The sequence below is a fragment of the Homo sapiens genome, chromosome 18 (assembly GCF_000001405.40).
Source record: "Homo sapiens chromosome 18, GRCh38.p14 Primary Assembly".
NCBI classification, from domain to species: Eukaryota; Metazoa; Chordata; class Mammalia; order Primates; family Hominidae; genus Homo; species Homo sapiens.
This window is the reverse complement of record NC_000018.10, coordinates 3422386-3440596: the sequence shown is the minus strand read 5'-3', so window position 1 is coordinate 3440596 and position 18211 is coordinate 3422386. Positions and strand designations below refer to the sequence as shown.

The following is an 18211-nucleotide window of genomic DNA, read 5'->3' as shown; positions in this document are numbered from 1 at the left end:
TCGGGGCGGAAAGTGGTAAGTTGAAGTCAGTGTCTGGAGTCCAAGAGCCATTAGTGGTTAATCATCAGCAAATGTGAATAACCCCTAATGACACTCTGGGAGCCAACTATTCATTGCCTTTTACAAGAAATAAGAACAAATACTGTCAAACCATTTACCAACCCAAATGGCTTTGGATTTGGATGACCAAATCTGCAAAACTGGAAATGTTAATCCTAATGCAGGTAATTTTTTTTTTTTTTTTGGAGAAAGAGTCTTGCTCTGTCACCCAGGTTGGAGTGCAGTGGCACGATATCGGCTCACTTGCAACCTCTGCCTCCCAGGTTCAAGCGATTCTCCTGCCTCAGCCTCCCAAGTAATGAGGAATACAGGCATGAACCACCATGTTTGGCTAATTTTTGTATTTTTAGTAGAGACCGGGTTTTGCCATGTTGGCCAGCCTGGTCTCAAACTTCTGACCTCAAGGGATCTGCTCTCCTCAGCCTCCCAAAGTGCGGGGTTACAGAGTAGACTAGTAGAGCTCCTTTTCAAGGGTGAAATAAATGTCTAAATCAGTACTTTTTTTTTTTTTTCTTTGAGACAGGGTCTTCCTCTGTTGCCCAAGCTGGAGTGCAGTGGTTCGATCTTGGCTCACTGCAACCTCCACCTCCTGGGCTCAGGTGATTCTCTCACCTCAGCCTCCCTAATAGCTGGGACCAAAGGCGCCCACGACAACGCCTGGCTGATTTTTGTATTTTTTTTAGAGACCGGGTTTCACTACGTTGCCCAGTCTGGTCTTGAACTCCTGGGCTCAATCTATCCGCCCACCTTGGCTTCCCCAAGTGCTGGGATTACAGGCATGAGGTGCCACGCCTGGCCCCATTCCTATTTTTCTTTTCTCCTTTCCCTGAGACAGGCAACAATTCACACACGTCTACTAGTCCTGAATAAATTTTATTTTAAAAAAATCTTTAGAGCTGGGCACGATGGCTCATGCCTGTAATCCCAGCACTTTGGGAGGCTGAGGCGGGCGAATCACCTGAGGTTGGGAGTTCAAGGCCAGCCTGACCAAAATGGAGAAATCCCATCTCTACTAAAAATACAAAATTAGCCAAGCATGGTGGAGCATGCCAGTAATCCCAGCTAATCGGGTGGCTGAGGCAGGAGAATCGCTTGAACCTGGGAGGAGGTTGCGGTGAGCCGAGATCTGCCACTGTACTCCAACCTGGGCAATAGAGCAAGACTCCGTCTCAAAAAAAAAAAAAAATTAAAATAGTGAGGTGACTTCAGAAACAAGGACTCTGTTGTGTCCAGAGTGTTTTTGTTTGTTTTGCTTTTTTTACTTTTGATTATGGAAAATTTTAAATATATCCAATAGTGAGGAGATCCTAGTGTAATAAATCCCCAAAGAACCATCACCCAGCTTCAACAATGATCAATTCATGACCCATCTAGTGTCACCTTCTCCCTTACACACTTCGTCTTCACCTATATTACTTTAAAGCAAATTCCAGACATCATATGTCTTCTGGATAAGCTCTCATAGTGAATGATCCTGCTTGCCTGATCAGTAACTCCTTATTCCTCGGTCTAAATGATTTGTTTACTAATGGGGCCAAGTAGTCCCAGAATTATGCTCTATTGTCTTTTTCTTTCTAGCTATTTATATTCCTATGTTTATACAATTTCTTCTTGTCAGAGAGAACAATTCCATTTTATTTTTAGATGGAACTTTAATGCTTTTAGTTCTACTAGCTTATTTTAGACCAATCACAGAAGGAAAACTTCTCTTCTGGATAGTCCTACTCTCAAATATTTATTTCCACTTCTGTTTGCACCGGTCAGACTACGCGCCTTGATTTTTTTTGGTTCAGGAAACATGTTCACCAAATCAGTATCTCACTTTGAGATCTCCAGGAACATTGTTTTACTTTATTGACTAGACAAAATTAACTTTTAGAAAAAGTAATGGCTAATGATTTCCTTCTCGTGTGTGTGTGTGTGTGTGTGTGTGTGTGTGTTTGTGTGTATGAAATGATGGGAATGGAAGATGGGGGGTGAAGTCTAGAAGGACTTGATACATCCAACATGGAGCTGTTTTTAGCCAGCACAGCCAGATGGTGACATAGAAACACAAACAGCCATATTACAAAGTTTTAAAACATAACATTCTGACCTTTAGGTTTGAAAAAAGTAGGAGAATTTCAGGTAACTTATCTGCATGCTTGTCCTCCCTCCCTCACCTTCTCTCTCTTCTCCCATCTCTCATAACTCTTGCACACATGACCCTTCACTGCAAGTCACACATCTGTAATTTGTGACTAAATATTTTTTGCTTCACGAGAATCCCATTTGGTTTTAAAAACTAAACCAACTTTTTCAAAAGCAGGGTCTAGATTGCTTGACTTAGGTTCACTGCGCTTTCAACTAATAAAATGATATATTGATTCTATCAGCTTCTTTATGGAAAAAAAATACAACAACAACCTACACTAACTTCTATTTAATTAGTCACTTGTCACTTTTTTTTTTTGAGACGGACTTTCGCTCTTGTCACCCAGGTTGGAGTTCAATGGCGTGATCTCGGCTCACTGCAACCTCTGCCTCCCGGGTTCAAGCGATTCTCCTGCCTCAGTCTCCCAAGTGGCTGGGATTACAAGCGTGCACCACCACACCTGGCTAATTTTTGTATTTTTAGTAGAGATGGGGTTTCACCATGTTGGCCAGGCTGGTCTCGAACTCCCGACCTCAGGTGATCCGCCTGCCTTGGCCTCCCAAAGTGCTGGGATTACAGGCATGAGCCACCGTGCCCGGCCACTTGTCACTTCTTGTCTGATCACAAAATGCATTTTCCAAGGGGATTAGTGATTCTATAACCATATGTGCTTTGACTTCTGTCATCATTTTGCTGAGTTTCCAAGAAGCATCTCTTTGAACCACCACCCCCAGCCAGAAATACAAGCCCTTCCGTGTAGCTTTGAAATACAATTAACAAATAACCTCTGTTTTTCATACGAAAATTGCTGTTTAGAAAAAAGCTTTCTCTCTAATATAACTTCAATATACACTTTCTGTTCCCATTTCTCCCTCACCCACTCCCAAAATACATCACTTATTATTTTGCAAATGGTAATCATTAAAAATGCAAAATAAATTTTAGTCCAGGAGAAAAATAATATAAATTATGTATTGTTGGACTTCAAGATAGGTAAAGGTTTAATTAATTTACTGCTAGGAAATCCTTATCTGGTAACAGGTGGCCTAAGCTAGAAACAAGAAAACGTATACAGGAATGGAACGTTTACACTCATTCCTCATTGATTATCTGCAGGATAAGAATGCAGATCCCCCATGCTCGCACACCTCCACACACAGAGAAGTCATGTCAACTATCGATTGTTCTTGAAAAATACAGTTGAGAAGGTTTGGAGGATGTGCAAAAAGAGTTGGCACTCTTTTTTCTGGGTAAATAAAATTGAGGGTTTATTTTATTTTATTATTATTATTATTTTTGAGATGGAGTCCTGCGCTGTCACCCAGGTTGGAGTGCAGTGGCGCAATCTCGGCTCACTGCAACTTCTGCCTCCTGGGGTCAGGCCATTCTCGTGCCTCAGCCTCCCGAGTAGCTGGGATTACAGGCATGAGCCACCAGGCCTGGCTAATTTTTGTATTTTTAGTAGAGATGGAGTTTCACCATGTTGGCCAGGCTGGTCTTGAACTCCTGACCTGGAATGATCCACCCACCTCGGCCTCCCAGAGTGCTGGAATTACAGGTGTGAGCCACCAAACCCAGCCCTCTTTTTTTGAGTCTCCCTCTATCTCCCAGGCTGGAGTGCAGTGGCACCATCTTGGCTCACTGGAACCTCCACTTCCCGGGTTCAAGAGATTCTCCTGCCTCAGCCTCCTGGGTAGCTGGGACTACAGGAGTGCGACACCACAACCGGCTAATTTTTGTATTTTTAGTAGAGACGGGCTTTCACCACGTTGGCCAGGCTGGTCTCGAACTCCTGACCTCAGGTGATCCACCTGCCTCAGCCTCCCAAAGTGCTGGAATTACAGGCATGAGCCACCATGCCCGGCTACATTCAGGGCTTCTTTTATTTAATCTGGGGCCTATAGATTTACATTCTAACCTACATCCACTCCAGACATTATTTGAATGTTCACAGAAACAAAGCAAAACACAAATTAAAATTTTGTGCCTCTCTTCTGGGATTCAGCTTCATCTGCTGGATAAAGTTTGACTATTTGTCAGCCAAAATGTAAATAATGCTTATGCCCAAGTTGTGGGATTATGGCTCTTCACTGTTTTTAGCCTTTTGCAAGTTTTCTGCAATTAGCTGGTACTGTCTTACTTTTATCATCATAAAAAGCAATAGGCATTATTTTTTAAGTTAATAAAAAAAGTTGCTGAAATAGTGATATTCTCACTTGACAAATATTGACAAATATTCCTGAGGGCTCACTATGTGTGAAGTATTAACCTTGCTGGTGTGAAAATAAGTAAACAAAGAATAAAAGAGGAACGTGCTCAGGCGTTCAGAGGAAGAGAAAAAATGAGTAGCTTGGGAATTTCAAAAATCGAAGGAAGGCCAGGTGCACTGGCTCACGCCTGTAATCCCAGAAACTCAGGTGGCAGAGAGACAGGAAGATCGTTTGAGCCCAGGAGTTCGAGACTGTTATGAACTATGATCATGCCACTGCACTCCAGCCTGGGTGACAGAGTGAGACCTTGTCCCTAAATATATATACATATATATTTAGTCCTCCTTTATCACAAACCCTTACCAACTAGTTTGGGGAAAAGGAGACCTTTTGTTCACAGCTAGTGAGAGAGCAACTCATCAATGCATATGCAAAGTTTTGAAAATGCGTACATTCTGTGGCCGAGCAATTATTGGGGATTTATTCTAAAGTTTGGGAGTCTAACTTGACAGCTACAGAAGGAATAGCAAAAGGGAAACCTCAAAAGATACACTGAGGTCAAGTTACTAGATTGAGATGGGATCAGTGCCTTATTCTATAAGAAATGATGACTATGTGGCAACAGTTGAGGAAGATGAAGTTTGCAATTTTCTCCAGAATCAATTAGAGACAGAGTCTGGTTAATAGGGTTTTAAGGCCGGGAGCGGTGGCTCACACCTGTAATCCTAGCACTTTGGGAGGCCGAGGCAGGCGGATTGCCTGAGCTCAGGAGTTCGAGACCAGCCTGGGCAACACCGGTGAAACCCCATCTCTACTAAAATACAAAAAATTAGCCGGACGTGGCAGCATGCGCCTGCAGTCCCAGCTACTTGGGAGGCTGAGGCAGGAAGGAGAATCGCTTGAACCTGGGAGGCGGAGGTTGCAGTGAGCCGAGATCACACCACTGCACTCCAGCCTGGGCAAGAGAGCAAGACTCCATCTCAAAAAAAAAAATATATATAGGGTTTTAAAAGATTAAAAGCCTGAAATTTAATTGTGCCTTTGAAAATGGAAATGAGTTTTTCACTTGGTACTTTAAGTTTTTAAAAATAAGACAAGATTGACTGTGCCTTGGTATTTGACACTTACATACAAATTACTACAGACACTTAAAGCATGAAAGACACTTTACCATTGCTTATACTGTAAAAAAGCAATGAGTAACCTTAATGAGAAGTGAACCCACTTCAGGCCAGGTCCATGCCAGAATGAAGACTGTATAAGTCAGCTATTTTACTTGGCTTTATTTTTCCTGTTCACATTGCAGAGGTCAAAGGGTGTGAAAGGGAAGAACTTGCAAAATGCTTGGTTCCTGAGGGTCACGGGTCACCAAACATGCTTGGGAAGTGTTATCATGAAGTCTTCGATGTTGTCTAATTACTGTAGTGTTTACCTCCTGAGCCTGCTCATAACTATATTTACTTATTTATTTTCGTTTTCTGAGACAGTCTCACTCTGTCGCCCAGACTGGAGTGCAGTGGTGCAATCTCAGCTCACTGCAGCCTGCGCTTCTTGGGTTCAAGCGATTCTCCTGCCTCAGCCTCCCGAGTAGCTGGGATTACAGGCGCATGCCACCACGCCTGGCTAATTTTTTTTATTTTTTTATTTTTATTTTTTGAGATGCAGTTTAGCTCTTGTTGCCCAGGCTGGAGTGCAATGGCATGATCTTGCCTCACCGCAACCTCTGTCTCCTGGGTTTAAGCGATTCTCCTGCCTCAGCCTCCCAAGTAGCTGGGATTACAGGCATGCACCACCACGCCCGGGTAATTTTGTATTTTTAGTAGAGACGGGGTTTCTACGTGTTGGTCAGGCTGGTCTCGAACTCCTGACCTCAGGTGATCCACCCATCTCAGCCTCCCAGTGTGCTGAGATTACAGGCATAAGCCACCGCACCCGGCCCAAGGCCCAGCTAATTTTTGTATTTTTAGTAGAGATGTGGTTTCACCATGTTGGCCAGGGTGGTCTCAAACTTCTGACTTCAAGTGCTCCACCTGCCTCAGCCTCCCAAAGTGCTGAGATTATAGGCATGAGCCAGCGCACCTGGCCCATAGCTATTATTTAAATGGGCTGTTTCTCACTTCGACTGGCAAGATGGTACAAGATCTCTGGTAGGGAAGGAGGCTGTTCCTTAAATGTTTTTATAGAATGAAACTGCATTTTGTAATCAGTTCTGGGGAAGACATGCTGATATTGTAGTTAAAGTATAAACCTGGGACTGTGAACCCTCATTTACTTTTTTTGTATATGTGGTACAATATACTACACAACGTAAAATATACCATTTTGACCAATTTTAAATATACAGTTCAGTGGCATTAAGTATATTCACTTGGCTGTGCAACCATCATGACTATCCATTTTCAGAACTCTTTTCATCTGGCAAAACTTAAATTCTTCAAGGTTACATTGAGCTATTATTAAACCAGAGCACTCCAGACTGGGTGATGGAGCAAGACCCTGTCTCTAAAATAAAAAATAACCTCTTTACCCATTAAACACTAAGTCATCGTTCTCTCCTCCCCACAGTCCCTAGTAACTTCTCTTCTGTATTCTAGTTCATTCTAACATGGAGGCTTTCCGTCTTAACCTCCATGAATTTGACTATTCTAGGTTTTTCATAAAAGTAGAATCACAATATTTGTCCTTCTGTGTCTGGCTTATTTCACTTAGCATAGTGTCTTCAACCTTCGGCCATGTTATAGAATATATCAGAATTGTATTACTTTCGTCTTGTAATTTTTAATCTTAAAGTGATTTTAGCCTTATAGAAAATTCATAAGGGCCAGGCGTGGTGGCTGACGCCTGTAATCCTAGCACTTTGGGAGGCTGAGGCGGGCGGATCACGTGAGGCCAGGAGTTGGAGACCAGCCTGGCCAACATGGGGAAATCCCGTCTCTACCAAAAATACAAAAATCAGCCCAGCGTGGTGGCATGTGCCTGTAATCCTAGCTACTTGGGAGGCTGAAGCAAAAGGAGTGCTTGAGCCCAGAAGGTGGAGGCTGCAGTGAGCTGAGATTGCTCCACTGCACTCAAACCTGGGTGACAGAGTGAGAATCAGAATCAGTCTCAAAAAAAAAAAAGAAGAAGAAGAAGAAGGCCAGGCGCAGTGGCTCACGCCAGTAATCCCAGCTCTTTGGGAGGCCAAGCCGGGCGGATGACCTGAGGTCGGGAGTTCGAGACCAGCCTGACCAACGTGGAGAAACCCCGTCTCTACTAAAAATACAAAATTAGCCGGGCTTGGTGGCGCATGCCTGTAATCCCAGCTACTCGGGAGGCTGAGGCAGGAGAATTGCTTGAACCCAGGCGGCGGAGGTTGTGGTGAGCCGAGATCACACCACTGCACTCCAGCCTGGGAAACAAGTGTGAAACTCCATCTCAAAAAAAAAAACAAACAAAAAAAGAAAAGTCTGAAGAATGGTATAAAGAAATCTCATATACTCTTCACCATCCAGATTCCCCAGATTTGATCCATTATTTTCCATATAGACAAACACAGGCGCACACACTACATATAATCGTTTCCCATATATGTCTTTTATTCCTGAATCATTTGAGAGTAAACTGCAGATATGTTGCCCTTTGTGCCCTAAATACTTCAGTGTGTACTTCCTGAGAACAAGGACATTCTCTTATACACCAGAGAATGTATTACAATTATCAAAATTAGGAAATTAACATTGATATAATGCTATTACCTAGTATACTGACCATACTCATATTTTTTGTTGTCAAATAATGTCCTTTATAAGAAAGCAAAAATTTTCAGACTAAGATCCGATGTAGGATCACGCACTGTATTGAGTAAGCATATCTCTTTAGTCTCCTTTAATGTAGAATGGTCTGTATTTGTCGTTCAGGACCTTGGCATTTTTGAAAGTAAAGTCCTGTTAGTTTATAGCACATCCCTCACTTTGGCAGTCCCATGTTTCCTCATGATTAGATTGAGGCTGTGCATTTTGGACAGATATATCACAAAATTGATATTTCGCCTTCCTTAGCTTTCTTAGTGTTTTTTTTTTTTTTTTTTTTTGACAGTTTTGTTCTGTTGCCCAGGTTGGAGTGCAATGGCACAATCTCGGCTCACTGTAATCTCCGCCTCCTGGGTTCAAGCCATTCTCCTGCCTCAGCCTCCCAAGTAGCTGGGACTACAGGTGTGTACCACCATGCCCAGCTAATTTTTGTATTTTAGTAGAGATGGGGTTTCACCAGGTTGGCCAGGATAGTCTCGATCTCTTGACCTCATCATCTGCCTGCCTCAGCCTCCCAAAGAGCTGGGATTACAGGCGTGAGCCACAGCACCCGGCCCTTAGTACATTTTATTAGGTGGCACGTGATTTTAATGTGGGCTTGTCCCCTTACTGGTAATGTTAACTTTGATGATTAACTTTGATGACTTGGTTAAGGTGGTGTCAGCCAGGCCTCTCCATCTGAAATAATAATAAAGTTAATATTTCTCCCTATTTTGAAACAAGATAGATGTCCTATTCCTCAAACTTTTACCCTTTAGTTTTATCATCCATCGTTTCTTCTACATTTATTTGTTGGTTTTCTACTCTGTGGAAAAGCTTTTCCTTCTCCATTTGTTTGTTTGCTTATTTGTATCAGTATGGATTTGTGGAGCCCTACTTTATTCACTAGGTTAAAAATCCATTACTATTATTTATTTATTTATTTATGATTTAATTATTTTATTTTAGTTTTAGTTTTTATTTTTTTTGAGACACAGTCTCGCTCCTGTCGCCCAGACTGGAGTGCAATGGCACAATCTCTGCTCACTACGACCTCCACCTCCCGGGTTCAAGCCTTAGCCTCATGAACAGTTGGGATCACCGGCACCCACCACTACACCCGACTAATTCTTATATTTTTACTAGAGACGGAGTTTCACTATGTTGGTCAGGCTGGTCTTGAACTCCTGACCTCAGGTTATCCGCCTGCCTCGGCCTCCCGAAGTGCTGGGATTAAAGGTGCGAGCCACCACGCCAGACCTGCTATTATTATTTATTTCTGTGCTCAGATTATCTTGGATTTGGCCAGTGGGAGCTCCTCAAATTGGGTGCCTTATCCTTTCGACTTACCTCCATCACTCCTTCAGGGTTTTTTTATTTTCTGGCATAACAAAATGTTCCAGGTTCATATCGTATTCTCCCTGCCCCAGCCCTGGAATCGGTCATTTCAGATCATACAGACATGTGTATATTTGTTATTATACAATAAGTAGTAAGTCTCAGATTGTTTTAGGCTCAGGACTTCTTCACCCTATTAAAAGCTACTGAAGAGCCAAAAAGCTTTTGTTTATGTGGACTATATCTATTATATTTACTGCATTAGACACTAAAACTAGCCGGGTGCAGTGGCTTGTGCCTATAATCCCAGCATTTTGGGAGGCTGAGGCAGGAGGATAAGCTGAGCTCAGAAGTTTGATAACAGCCTGGGCAACATGGCAAGACCCTATCTCTACCAAAAAAAAAAAAAAAAAAAATTAGCCGGGTGTGGTGGCATGGGCCTGTAGTCCCAGCTACTCAGGAGGCTGAGGTGGGAGGATTGCTTGAGCCTGTGTCAGGTGGAGGCTGCAGTGAACTAATATCACACCACTGCACCCCAGCCTGGGTGACAGAGCAAGACTTCGTCTCAAAAAAAGAAAAAACAAAACAAAACTAAACCAAAACTGAGAAATTGTAAAAATACGCATTTATTAAATACATGTAAAATAATAATATAAATTCATGACACGTTAATATAAGTAACATTTCACATTTTTATTAATAAAAACTCCATTTTATCAAATAAAAATATAGAAAGAAGGATAGCATTGTTTTATATTTCTGCAAATCTCTTTAATGCCTGGTTTAATAGAAGACAGTTGGATTCTCATATCTGATTCCTCTAGTAATCTCTTGAAATACATTGTTTTGGTAAAAGCATCTAAAGAAAACTTGGCATCAAACAGATATGTAGTTGGAAAAAGGATGAGTATTTTCACAGTCTTTTCTCTTTTGTTGAGACAGTCTTACTCTGTCACCCAGCTGGAGTGCAATGTTGCGATCTCAGCTCACTGCAACCCCTGCCTCCCAATTTCAAGCAATTCTCCTGCCTCAGCCTCCCGAGTATCTGGGATTACAGGTGCCCACCACCACGCCTGGCTAATTTTTTGTATTTTTAGTAGAGAAGGGGTTTTGCCATGTTGGCTAGGCTGGTCTCCAACTCCTGACCGCAGGTGATCCACCCACCTTGGCCTCCCAAAGTGTTGGGATTACAGGCACAAGCCACTGTGCCCAGCCTCAGCCTTTTCAGGTAATTGTGTTTGTTCCTCTTTGACAACACTAAAACACAATAGTGATTGTTTCTCAGAAGTTAGTTGCAATGTGGATTCTGAAATCACATTCACAAACTTTTTTGTGGTGTTAACATTAAAATGCATTGCCCTATCTTGTACTTTGATTGTGTTTTTTAACCATGCGTGATTTTGTAACATCATGCTTTGGTCACTTGGAAAATAATGGTTCACTGAAGTATATACATCTTCCAAATGTTGACACATTTCATTGTACATAAAAGAAGTTACTTCATTTACTATCTTCTCTGACTCGATTCGGTAAAGCCCATGGTAGCGGATGAGAGATTTTCCAAATTAAATTTAAATTTAAATTTTGAATCTTTCCATTAGCAACATTTACTATCCATTTTTTTTTTTGCTTGGAATGTTAGGCTTACTTCACTCATAGTTGAGAAAATAACTGTGAAATCCCATGTCCAACTAGCAGTAGTTTGCCTTTCCGGTTTCACCTTGAAATGGTGTTCCACAGGCTGAGCATGGTGGCTCATGCCTGTAATTCCAATGCTTTGGGAGGATTGTTTGAGCAAGAAGTTCAAGACCAGCCTGGACAAACAAAGCGAGACTCCAGTCTCTACAAAAAAAAAATTACAAAATTAGCTGGGCCTGGTGGCACGTGCCTGTAGTCTCAAATACTCAGGAGGCTGAGGCACAAGAATTGATTGAGCCCAGAAGTTTGAGGCTGCAGTGAGCTATAATCCTACCACTACACTCTACACTGGGCAACAGAGCAAGGCCCGTCTCTATAAAATAATTTTTTTTTTTTGGAGACGGAGTCTGGCTCTGTCACCCAGGCTGGAGTGCAGTGGCGCGATCTCGGCTCACTCTAACCTCCGCCTCCTGGGTTCAAGCACTTCTCCTGCTTCAGCCTCCTGAGTAGCTGGGACTACAGGGGCACGCCGCCATGCTCGGCTTATTTTATTTTTTATTTCTGTATTTTAGTAGAGACAGGGTTTCACCGTGTTGCCCAGGCTGTTCTCGAACTCCTGAGCTCAGGCAATCTGCCCACCTTGGCCTCCCAAAGTGCTAGGATCTCAGGCGTGAGCCACTGCGCCTGACCTATAAAATAACATTTTTTTTTTTGAGATGAAGTCTTGCTCTGTCGCCCAAACTGGAGTGCAGTGGTGCGATTTTGGCTCACTGCAACCTCCACCTCCTGAATTCAAGTGATTCTCCCGCCTCAGCCTCCTAAACAGCTGGGACTACAGGCGCGTGCCACCATGCCCGGATAATCTTTTTGTATTTTAGTGGAGATGGGGTTTCGCTATGTTGGTCAGGATGGTGTCGATCTCCCGACCTCATGATCTGCCCGCCTCAGCCTCCTAAAGTGCTGGGATTACAGGCATGAGCCGCCACCATACCCGGCCAAAATAATTTTTAAAAATAAAAAAAAAATTTTAATTAAAAAATTAAAAATGATGTTCATGAAAAAATGGCTACCTCATCTTGCAACTCAAACAACTGCAGAAACACTGTTGCACAAGATCACCATCATATGCCATGCACGTCGGAAGTGCTCCTGTGAACCTCCCATTTGGTCACACAGAATAGTAAAAAGATGTGAACTCAGGGTCAAGTTCTGACAAAATTACCAATTTTTATTGCTTCATCAAGGAAATTCTTAAGTAAAACTGTCTCTCCCTCCCCCCAGCCCCCAGAGTGTGTGGCAGTGGAGAGAGCTTGCCATGGCCTTGATTTGTGAAGGGCTAGCAGTTTTATCTGCATCCGTTCCACATCAACAATGCAAATGTCAGCACAGTGAAAAAGGCAAACAATGCATTATTTGGAAAATAGTTTTAACCTCATGGGCCACCTGAAAGTGCCTCAGGTACCCCCAGGGGTGTGGCCACCACGTTTTGAGAACGGCAGCCATAGATTGTTTTTGGCATTTTCCTTTATTCAGTTAAGAATATATTCTGAGGCCGGGTGTGGTGGTTCACGCCTATAATCCCATCCCTTTGGGAGGCCCAGGCAGGCGGATCACCTGCAGTCAAGAGTTCGAGACCATCCTGGCCAACATGTCGAAATCCTGTCTCCACTAAAAATATAAAAATTAGCCAGGTGTGGTGGCAGTTGCCTGTAATCCCAGTTACTCGGGTGGCTGAGGCAGGAGAATTGCTTGAACCCGGGAGGTGGAGGTTGCAGTAAACTGAGAGCCCGTCACTGCACTCCAGCCTGGGTGACAGAGGGAAACCCCGTCTCAAAAAAAAAAAAAAAGAATATATTCTGGCTCAGGCACAGTGGCTCACGCCTGTAATCCTAGCACTCTGGGAGGCTGAGGCAGGCGGATCACTTGAGATCAAGAGTTGGAGACCAGCCTAGCCAACCTGGGAAACCCCGTCTCTACTAAAAATACAAAAATTAGCCACGTGTGGTGGCGCACACCTGTAGTCCCAGCTACTCGGGAGGCTGAGGAAGAGAATCACTTGAACCTAGTGGGGTGGAGGTTGCAGTGTCCCGAAATTGTGCCTCTGCACTCTAGCCTGGGCAACAGAGTGAGGCTTCATCTCAAAGAAAAAAAAAAAAAGGGAGAATGTATTCTGGAAATCACTCCGTATCAGTTTATAGAGATCATTGGCTGGGCGCGGTGGCTCACGCCTGTAATCCCAGCACTTTGAGAGGCCGAGGCGGGTGGATTGCCTGAGGTCAGGAGTTCGAGGCTAGCCTGGCCAACATGGTGAAACCCCGTCTGTACTAAAAATACAAAAATTAGCCGGGCATGGTGGCGCAAGCCTGTAATCCCAGCTATTTGGGAGGCTGAGGCAGGAGAATCGCTTGAACCCGGGAGGTGGAGGTTGAACCCGGGAGGCGGAGGTTGCAGTGAGCCGAGATCATGCCATTGCACTCCAGCCTAGGCTACAAGAGTGAAACTCCGTCTCCAAAAAAAAAAAAAAAAAAAAAAAGAGATCATCCTTATTACTTTTTTACCGCTGCATAGTACCCCACTGCTTGGCTGTACCATGGTTTAATTACTTTCTCATGTTTGGCATTTGGACTGCAATTCTAAATAGTGCTGCAAAGAACAATCTTGTTCACATGTATTTTCATATTATTGAAGCTATATCCTCAGAACAACTTCCTAAAAGTGTGATTCTTATGTCAAAAAATAAACGTGTGGCTTTGTTAGATATTGCCAAATTCTACTTCACAAGGGTTGTACCAATTTGCATTTCCACTAGCAATGAATGGGAATTCCTGCTTCTTTCTCCACAGTATTAGCAAACAAAATACAAATATGGAAGACAGACATATATTAGGCCCATAGGTTATCTGTACAGCTAACACCAGTCTTTTCTGAGAACATTCTCCATTATCAGTCTATGGGTTGACTGAATAAGTGGACCCTAGCTGGGCCAGGGGCAGTGACTCATGCCTGTAATGCCAGCACTTTGGGAGGCAGAGGCAGGCGGATCGCTGGAGGTCAGGAGTTTGAGACCAGCCTAGACAACACAGTGAAACCCTGTCTCTATACAAAACACAAAAATCAGCTAGGTGTGGTGATGTGCATCTGTAGTCCCAGCAACTTGGGAGGCTGAGGTGTGAGAATCACTTGAGCCCAGGAGGAGGACGTTGCAGTGAGCCAAGATTGTGTCACTGCACTCCAGCCTGGGCAACAGAGCAAGACCCTGTCTCAAAAAAAAAAAAAAAAAAAAGGACCCTAGCCAGAACTGGGCCTGAGATTAGGGCTAAAGTCTTAGTGTGTCTCAGGAAATTCGAAGTTGGGGGACTGCTCACTTATACATGGCCATATACCAAACAAAATAGATAAAAGGATACATGTAAAAACACTTTCTCCTACTATACTCTCACAACGTAGGATGCTGCTGTGACCAAATATGGGGCGGGGGCAGGGCAGGGCAGGGGGATGGTGCGGGTTTCCTGACACACCAAGCAAGCAATCAATTCCGCAAGAGATTCTCCAGCACACACCAGTTGGATGTCCTCGTAACTGCCTGATGGGTTCTTCCCGCACAGGCCCAATCCACTGAGCCCATGGCATTGCAGTCAAGAAAGAGTTCAGTTGACACGATGCTGGCACCACGCAGGAGACAGTCATCACCCAAATCAATATCCCAGCATGCCTGGAGGTTAGGGGTTTTTCAAGGATAGTTTGGTAGGCAGGAGGCTAGGGACGGGGCCATGCGGATTGGCTGGGGATGCAATCATAGGGGTGTGGAAAACAGTCCTTGTATGCTGAGTTGGCTTCTGGGTGGGGCCCACCAGAGGAGTCACTGGTCTGGGTGGGGCCATCCAGTACTTAGAAATGCAAAAGCCTGAAAAGACGTCCCAAAAGGCCAATCTTAAACTCTACAATAGTGATGTTATTTACAGGATTAATTGGGGAAGTTGCAAATCTTATGACTTTCGGAATAATGGCTGGTAATTATTTAACTACACCCACATCTTAGTAGAATTCAGGCCCCTCTCATCCTCCTAACTTCATGATGTTCATCAGTTTTACAAGGGTAGTTTAGTTTTTGGAAAGGGCTATCATCACGTAAACTATAAACTAAATTTCTCCCGTGGTTAGCTTGGCCTATGCCCAGGTATGAGCAAGGACAGCCAGTCTGTGAGGATAGAAGCAAGATGGAGTTAGCCATGTCACATTTCTCTTGCTGTCATAATTTTGCAAAGGCAGTTTCATCCTCTAGAATTCAGTTCAATTCTGACACTATCTACCTGAAGGTAGCATCAAACCTCACGGGTTGAGAGTTCAGTCCCACAAGACTGCCCCACTTTAGACATCATAAGTAGTAGGTTGTCACCAATACTTCTGACCAACTGGCTATACATCAGGGTTCCCATGGCCCTTCCACAGGTTTGATTAATTTGCTAGAGCAGCTCACAGACCTTTGGGAAACACTTACTTATGTTTACCTGTTTATTATAAAGGATATTAGAAAGGATACAGATGAACAGCCAGATGGAAGAGATGCATAGGGCAAGGTATGGGGAAGGGGTGCAGAGCTTCTGTGCCCGCTCCAGGCATATCACCCTCCCAGCACCTCCAAGGGTTAAGCAACTCAGAAGCTCTCCAACTTCTATCCTTTGGGGGTTTTATGGAGGGGTCATTAAGTAGGCATGATTGATTACATCATTGGCCATTGGTGAATAACTCAAACTTCAGCTACTCTCTCCTCCCCGAGGCTGGGGGTGGGGCTGAAAGTTCCTACCCTCTAATCCAGTGGCAACCACTATCCTGGGGCTATCCAGTAGCCCCTACCCACCCACCCAAAGGTCAATTCATTAGCACACAAGGAGATTCCAAGGATTTTAGAAGTTGCTTGCCAGGAAATGGGTAGAAGACCAAGTAGTATTTCACAATATCACAGGAGAGAAATCTGGTTTGCAGAAGCTGATATGAGAATGACCTCAGTTACTGATGGCTTCTCTATTTCCTGTTTCAGATCCTGCAAGGTGTGGCTGAACTTCCCACCCATGGATTACAGTAAAAACTTGACTGCATGTGATCCTTTGTAGTTAATAACATGATGATTGTGTTTTCACACTCTCGTGTGAGATATGCCTCCCTCAAATCTTGGCACATTACCCATCTGACATTAAAAAAAAACAACAAAAAAAACTTACTTTGCTGATATTATTACTGATGATTACTTATAATAAAATAATCATAATTAGAGAAATAGCTACAATACAATGAGATATGTACTTGATCATAAACCTACATTAATTAGGTCGCAGCTTGAGTTGCTCTCACATAGACCCAAATAAACATGAAAGAATTTGACTTGTCTCTGTGTCACAGTGTGAACATAAGCACTCCAGGGCTGCGGAAGCGCCACAATGTTGGTGACGCAGACCCCTTCTGTATTGTCACTCCATCGTGGCTGCCCTCTTTAGTTTAAGATAGCTGCTTTAATTCTCTCTACCTCTCAACATTTAGGCCACTGGAAAGAGAGGAAGAAACGAGGGCAGGTGTGCCTTTTTTTGTTTTGTTGTTTTTGAGACAGAGCACTGCTCTGTCACCCAGGCTGGAGTGCAGTGGTGTGATCATAGCTCACTGCAGCCTTGACCTCCTGGGCTCCAGTGATCCTCCTGCCTTAGTCTCCCGAGTAGCTGGGATTGCAAGTGTGCACCACCACACCCGGCTAATTTTTAAAACTCTTTTTTTTTTGAGATGGGAGTCTCGCTCTGTTGTGCAGGCTGGAGGGCAGTGGCGCGATCTCTGCTCACTGCAAGCTCCGCCTCCTGGGTTCACGACATTCTCCTGCCTCAGTAGCTCCTGAGTAGCTGGGATCACAGGCGCCCGACACCAAGCCCGGCTAATTTTTTGTATTTTTTTAGTAGAGACGGGGTTTCGCCGTGTTAGCCAGGAAGGTCTCGATGTCCTGACCTCGTGATCTGCCCGCCCTGGCCTCCCAAAGTGCTGGGATTACAAGCGTGAGCCACTGCGCTCAGCCTTAAAACTTTTTTTTGTAGAGACGGGGTCTCACTATGTTGCCCAGGCTGGTTGAGAACTCTGGGCTCAAGGGACCCTCCTGCCACAGCTTCCCAAAGTGTTGGGATTAGAGGCCTGAGCCACCACGCCCAGCCATGCCTATTTTTTCAATAGTACAATATGTGATATACTGTCATGCATCAACGACGGGGAGACATTCTGAGAAATGTGTCTTCAGGTGTTAGGCGTGTACTCAGACAAACTTAGAGCCGACTACATGCATTAGGCTTATGGTATGGCCTATTGCTTCTATGCTACTAGGAGTGATGTAACCATATGAGTACTGCAGGTGATTGCAACACAATGGTAAGTATTGATCTATCTAAACCTAGAACATGTATAGTAAAAATATGGCATAAAAGACAAAAAAAGCCTGGGCGCGGTGGCTCACGCCTACAATCCCAGCGCTTTGGGAGGCCGAGGCAGGTGGATCATGAGGTCAGGAGATAGAGACCATCCTGGATAACACGGTGAAACCCCGTCTCTACTAAAATACAAAAAATTAGCTGGGCGTGGTGGCGGGTGCCTGTAGTCCCAGCTACTCAGGAGGCTGAGGCAGGAGAATGGTGTGAACCCAGGAGGTGGAGCTTGCAGTGAGCGGAGATCACGCCACTGCACTCCAGACTGGGCGACAGAGCCAGACTCTGTCTCAAAAAAAAAAAAAAAAAAAAAAAAAAAAAAAAAAAGGCCACCTATATAGGGCACTTAACATTAATGGAGCCTGCAGGACTGAATGTTGCTTTCAGTGAGTCGGTGAGTGAGTGGTGAGTGAATGGGAAGGCCTACAAAATATTACTGTACACTATTGTAGACTTTATAAATGATATACACTTTGGCTACATTTTATTTTTTAAAATTTCTTTCTTCAATAATAAATTAACTTTACCTTACTATAACTTTTTTATTTTATAAAGTTTTAAATTTTTAAAAACTTTTTGACTTTGTCACAACACTAAGCCTAAAAACAAGCACAC

The 18211-nt window shown here is 43.7% G+C and overlaps 1 protein-coding gene and 1 pseudogene across 2 annotated transcripts in view, besides 4 other annotated features; one reads left to right on the top strand and one right to left on the bottom strand.

Moving 5' to 3' along the window:
* Positions 1-18211, bottom strand: part of TGIF1 (TGFB induced factor homeobox 1) — a 47970-nt gene that overhangs the window by 19382 nt on the left and 10377 nt on the right. The window lies entirely within an intron of this gene.
* Positions 5678-5888: a silencer, noted in NCBI's record as "fragment chr18:3434707-3434917 (GRCh37/hg19 assembly coordinates)". NCBI's record gives its function as "represses an EF-1alpha promoter that drives an FKBP-Casp9 reporter gene in an ReSE screen in K562 erythroleukemia cells {active_cell/tissue: K562}" and the evidence as "EXISTENCE:reporter gene assay evidence [ECO:0000049][PMID:32094911]".
* Positions 6323-6823: an enhancer, noted in NCBI's record as "H3K4me1 hESC enhancer chr18:3433772-3434272 (GRCh37/hg19 assembly coordinates)". NCBI's record gives its function as "activates a minimal SCP1, AML or CMV promoter by ChIP-STARR-seq in naive H9 embryonic stem cells {active_cell/tissue: H9 hESC(naive)}" and the evidence as "EXISTENCE:reporter gene assay evidence [ECO:0000049][PMID:30033119]".
* Positions 13888-14388: an enhancer, noted in NCBI's record as "H3K27ac hESC enhancer chr18:3426207-3426707 (GRCh37/hg19 assembly coordinates)". NCBI's record gives its function as "activates a minimal SCP1, AML or CMV promoter by ChIP-STARR-seq in naive H9 embryonic stem cells {active_cell/tissue: H9 hESC(naive)}" and the evidence as "EXISTENCE:reporter gene assay evidence [ECO:0000049][PMID:30033119]".
* Positions 14389-14889: an enhancer, noted in NCBI's record as "H3K27ac hESC enhancer chr18:3425706-3426206 (GRCh37/hg19 assembly coordinates)". NCBI's record gives its function as "activates a minimal SCP1, AML or CMV promoter by ChIP-STARR-seq in naive H9 embryonic stem cells {active_cell/tissue: H9 hESC(naive)}" and the evidence as "EXISTENCE:reporter gene assay evidence [ECO:0000049][PMID:30033119]".
* Positions 16248-16338, top strand: LOC124904374 (uncharacterized; annotated as a pseudogene).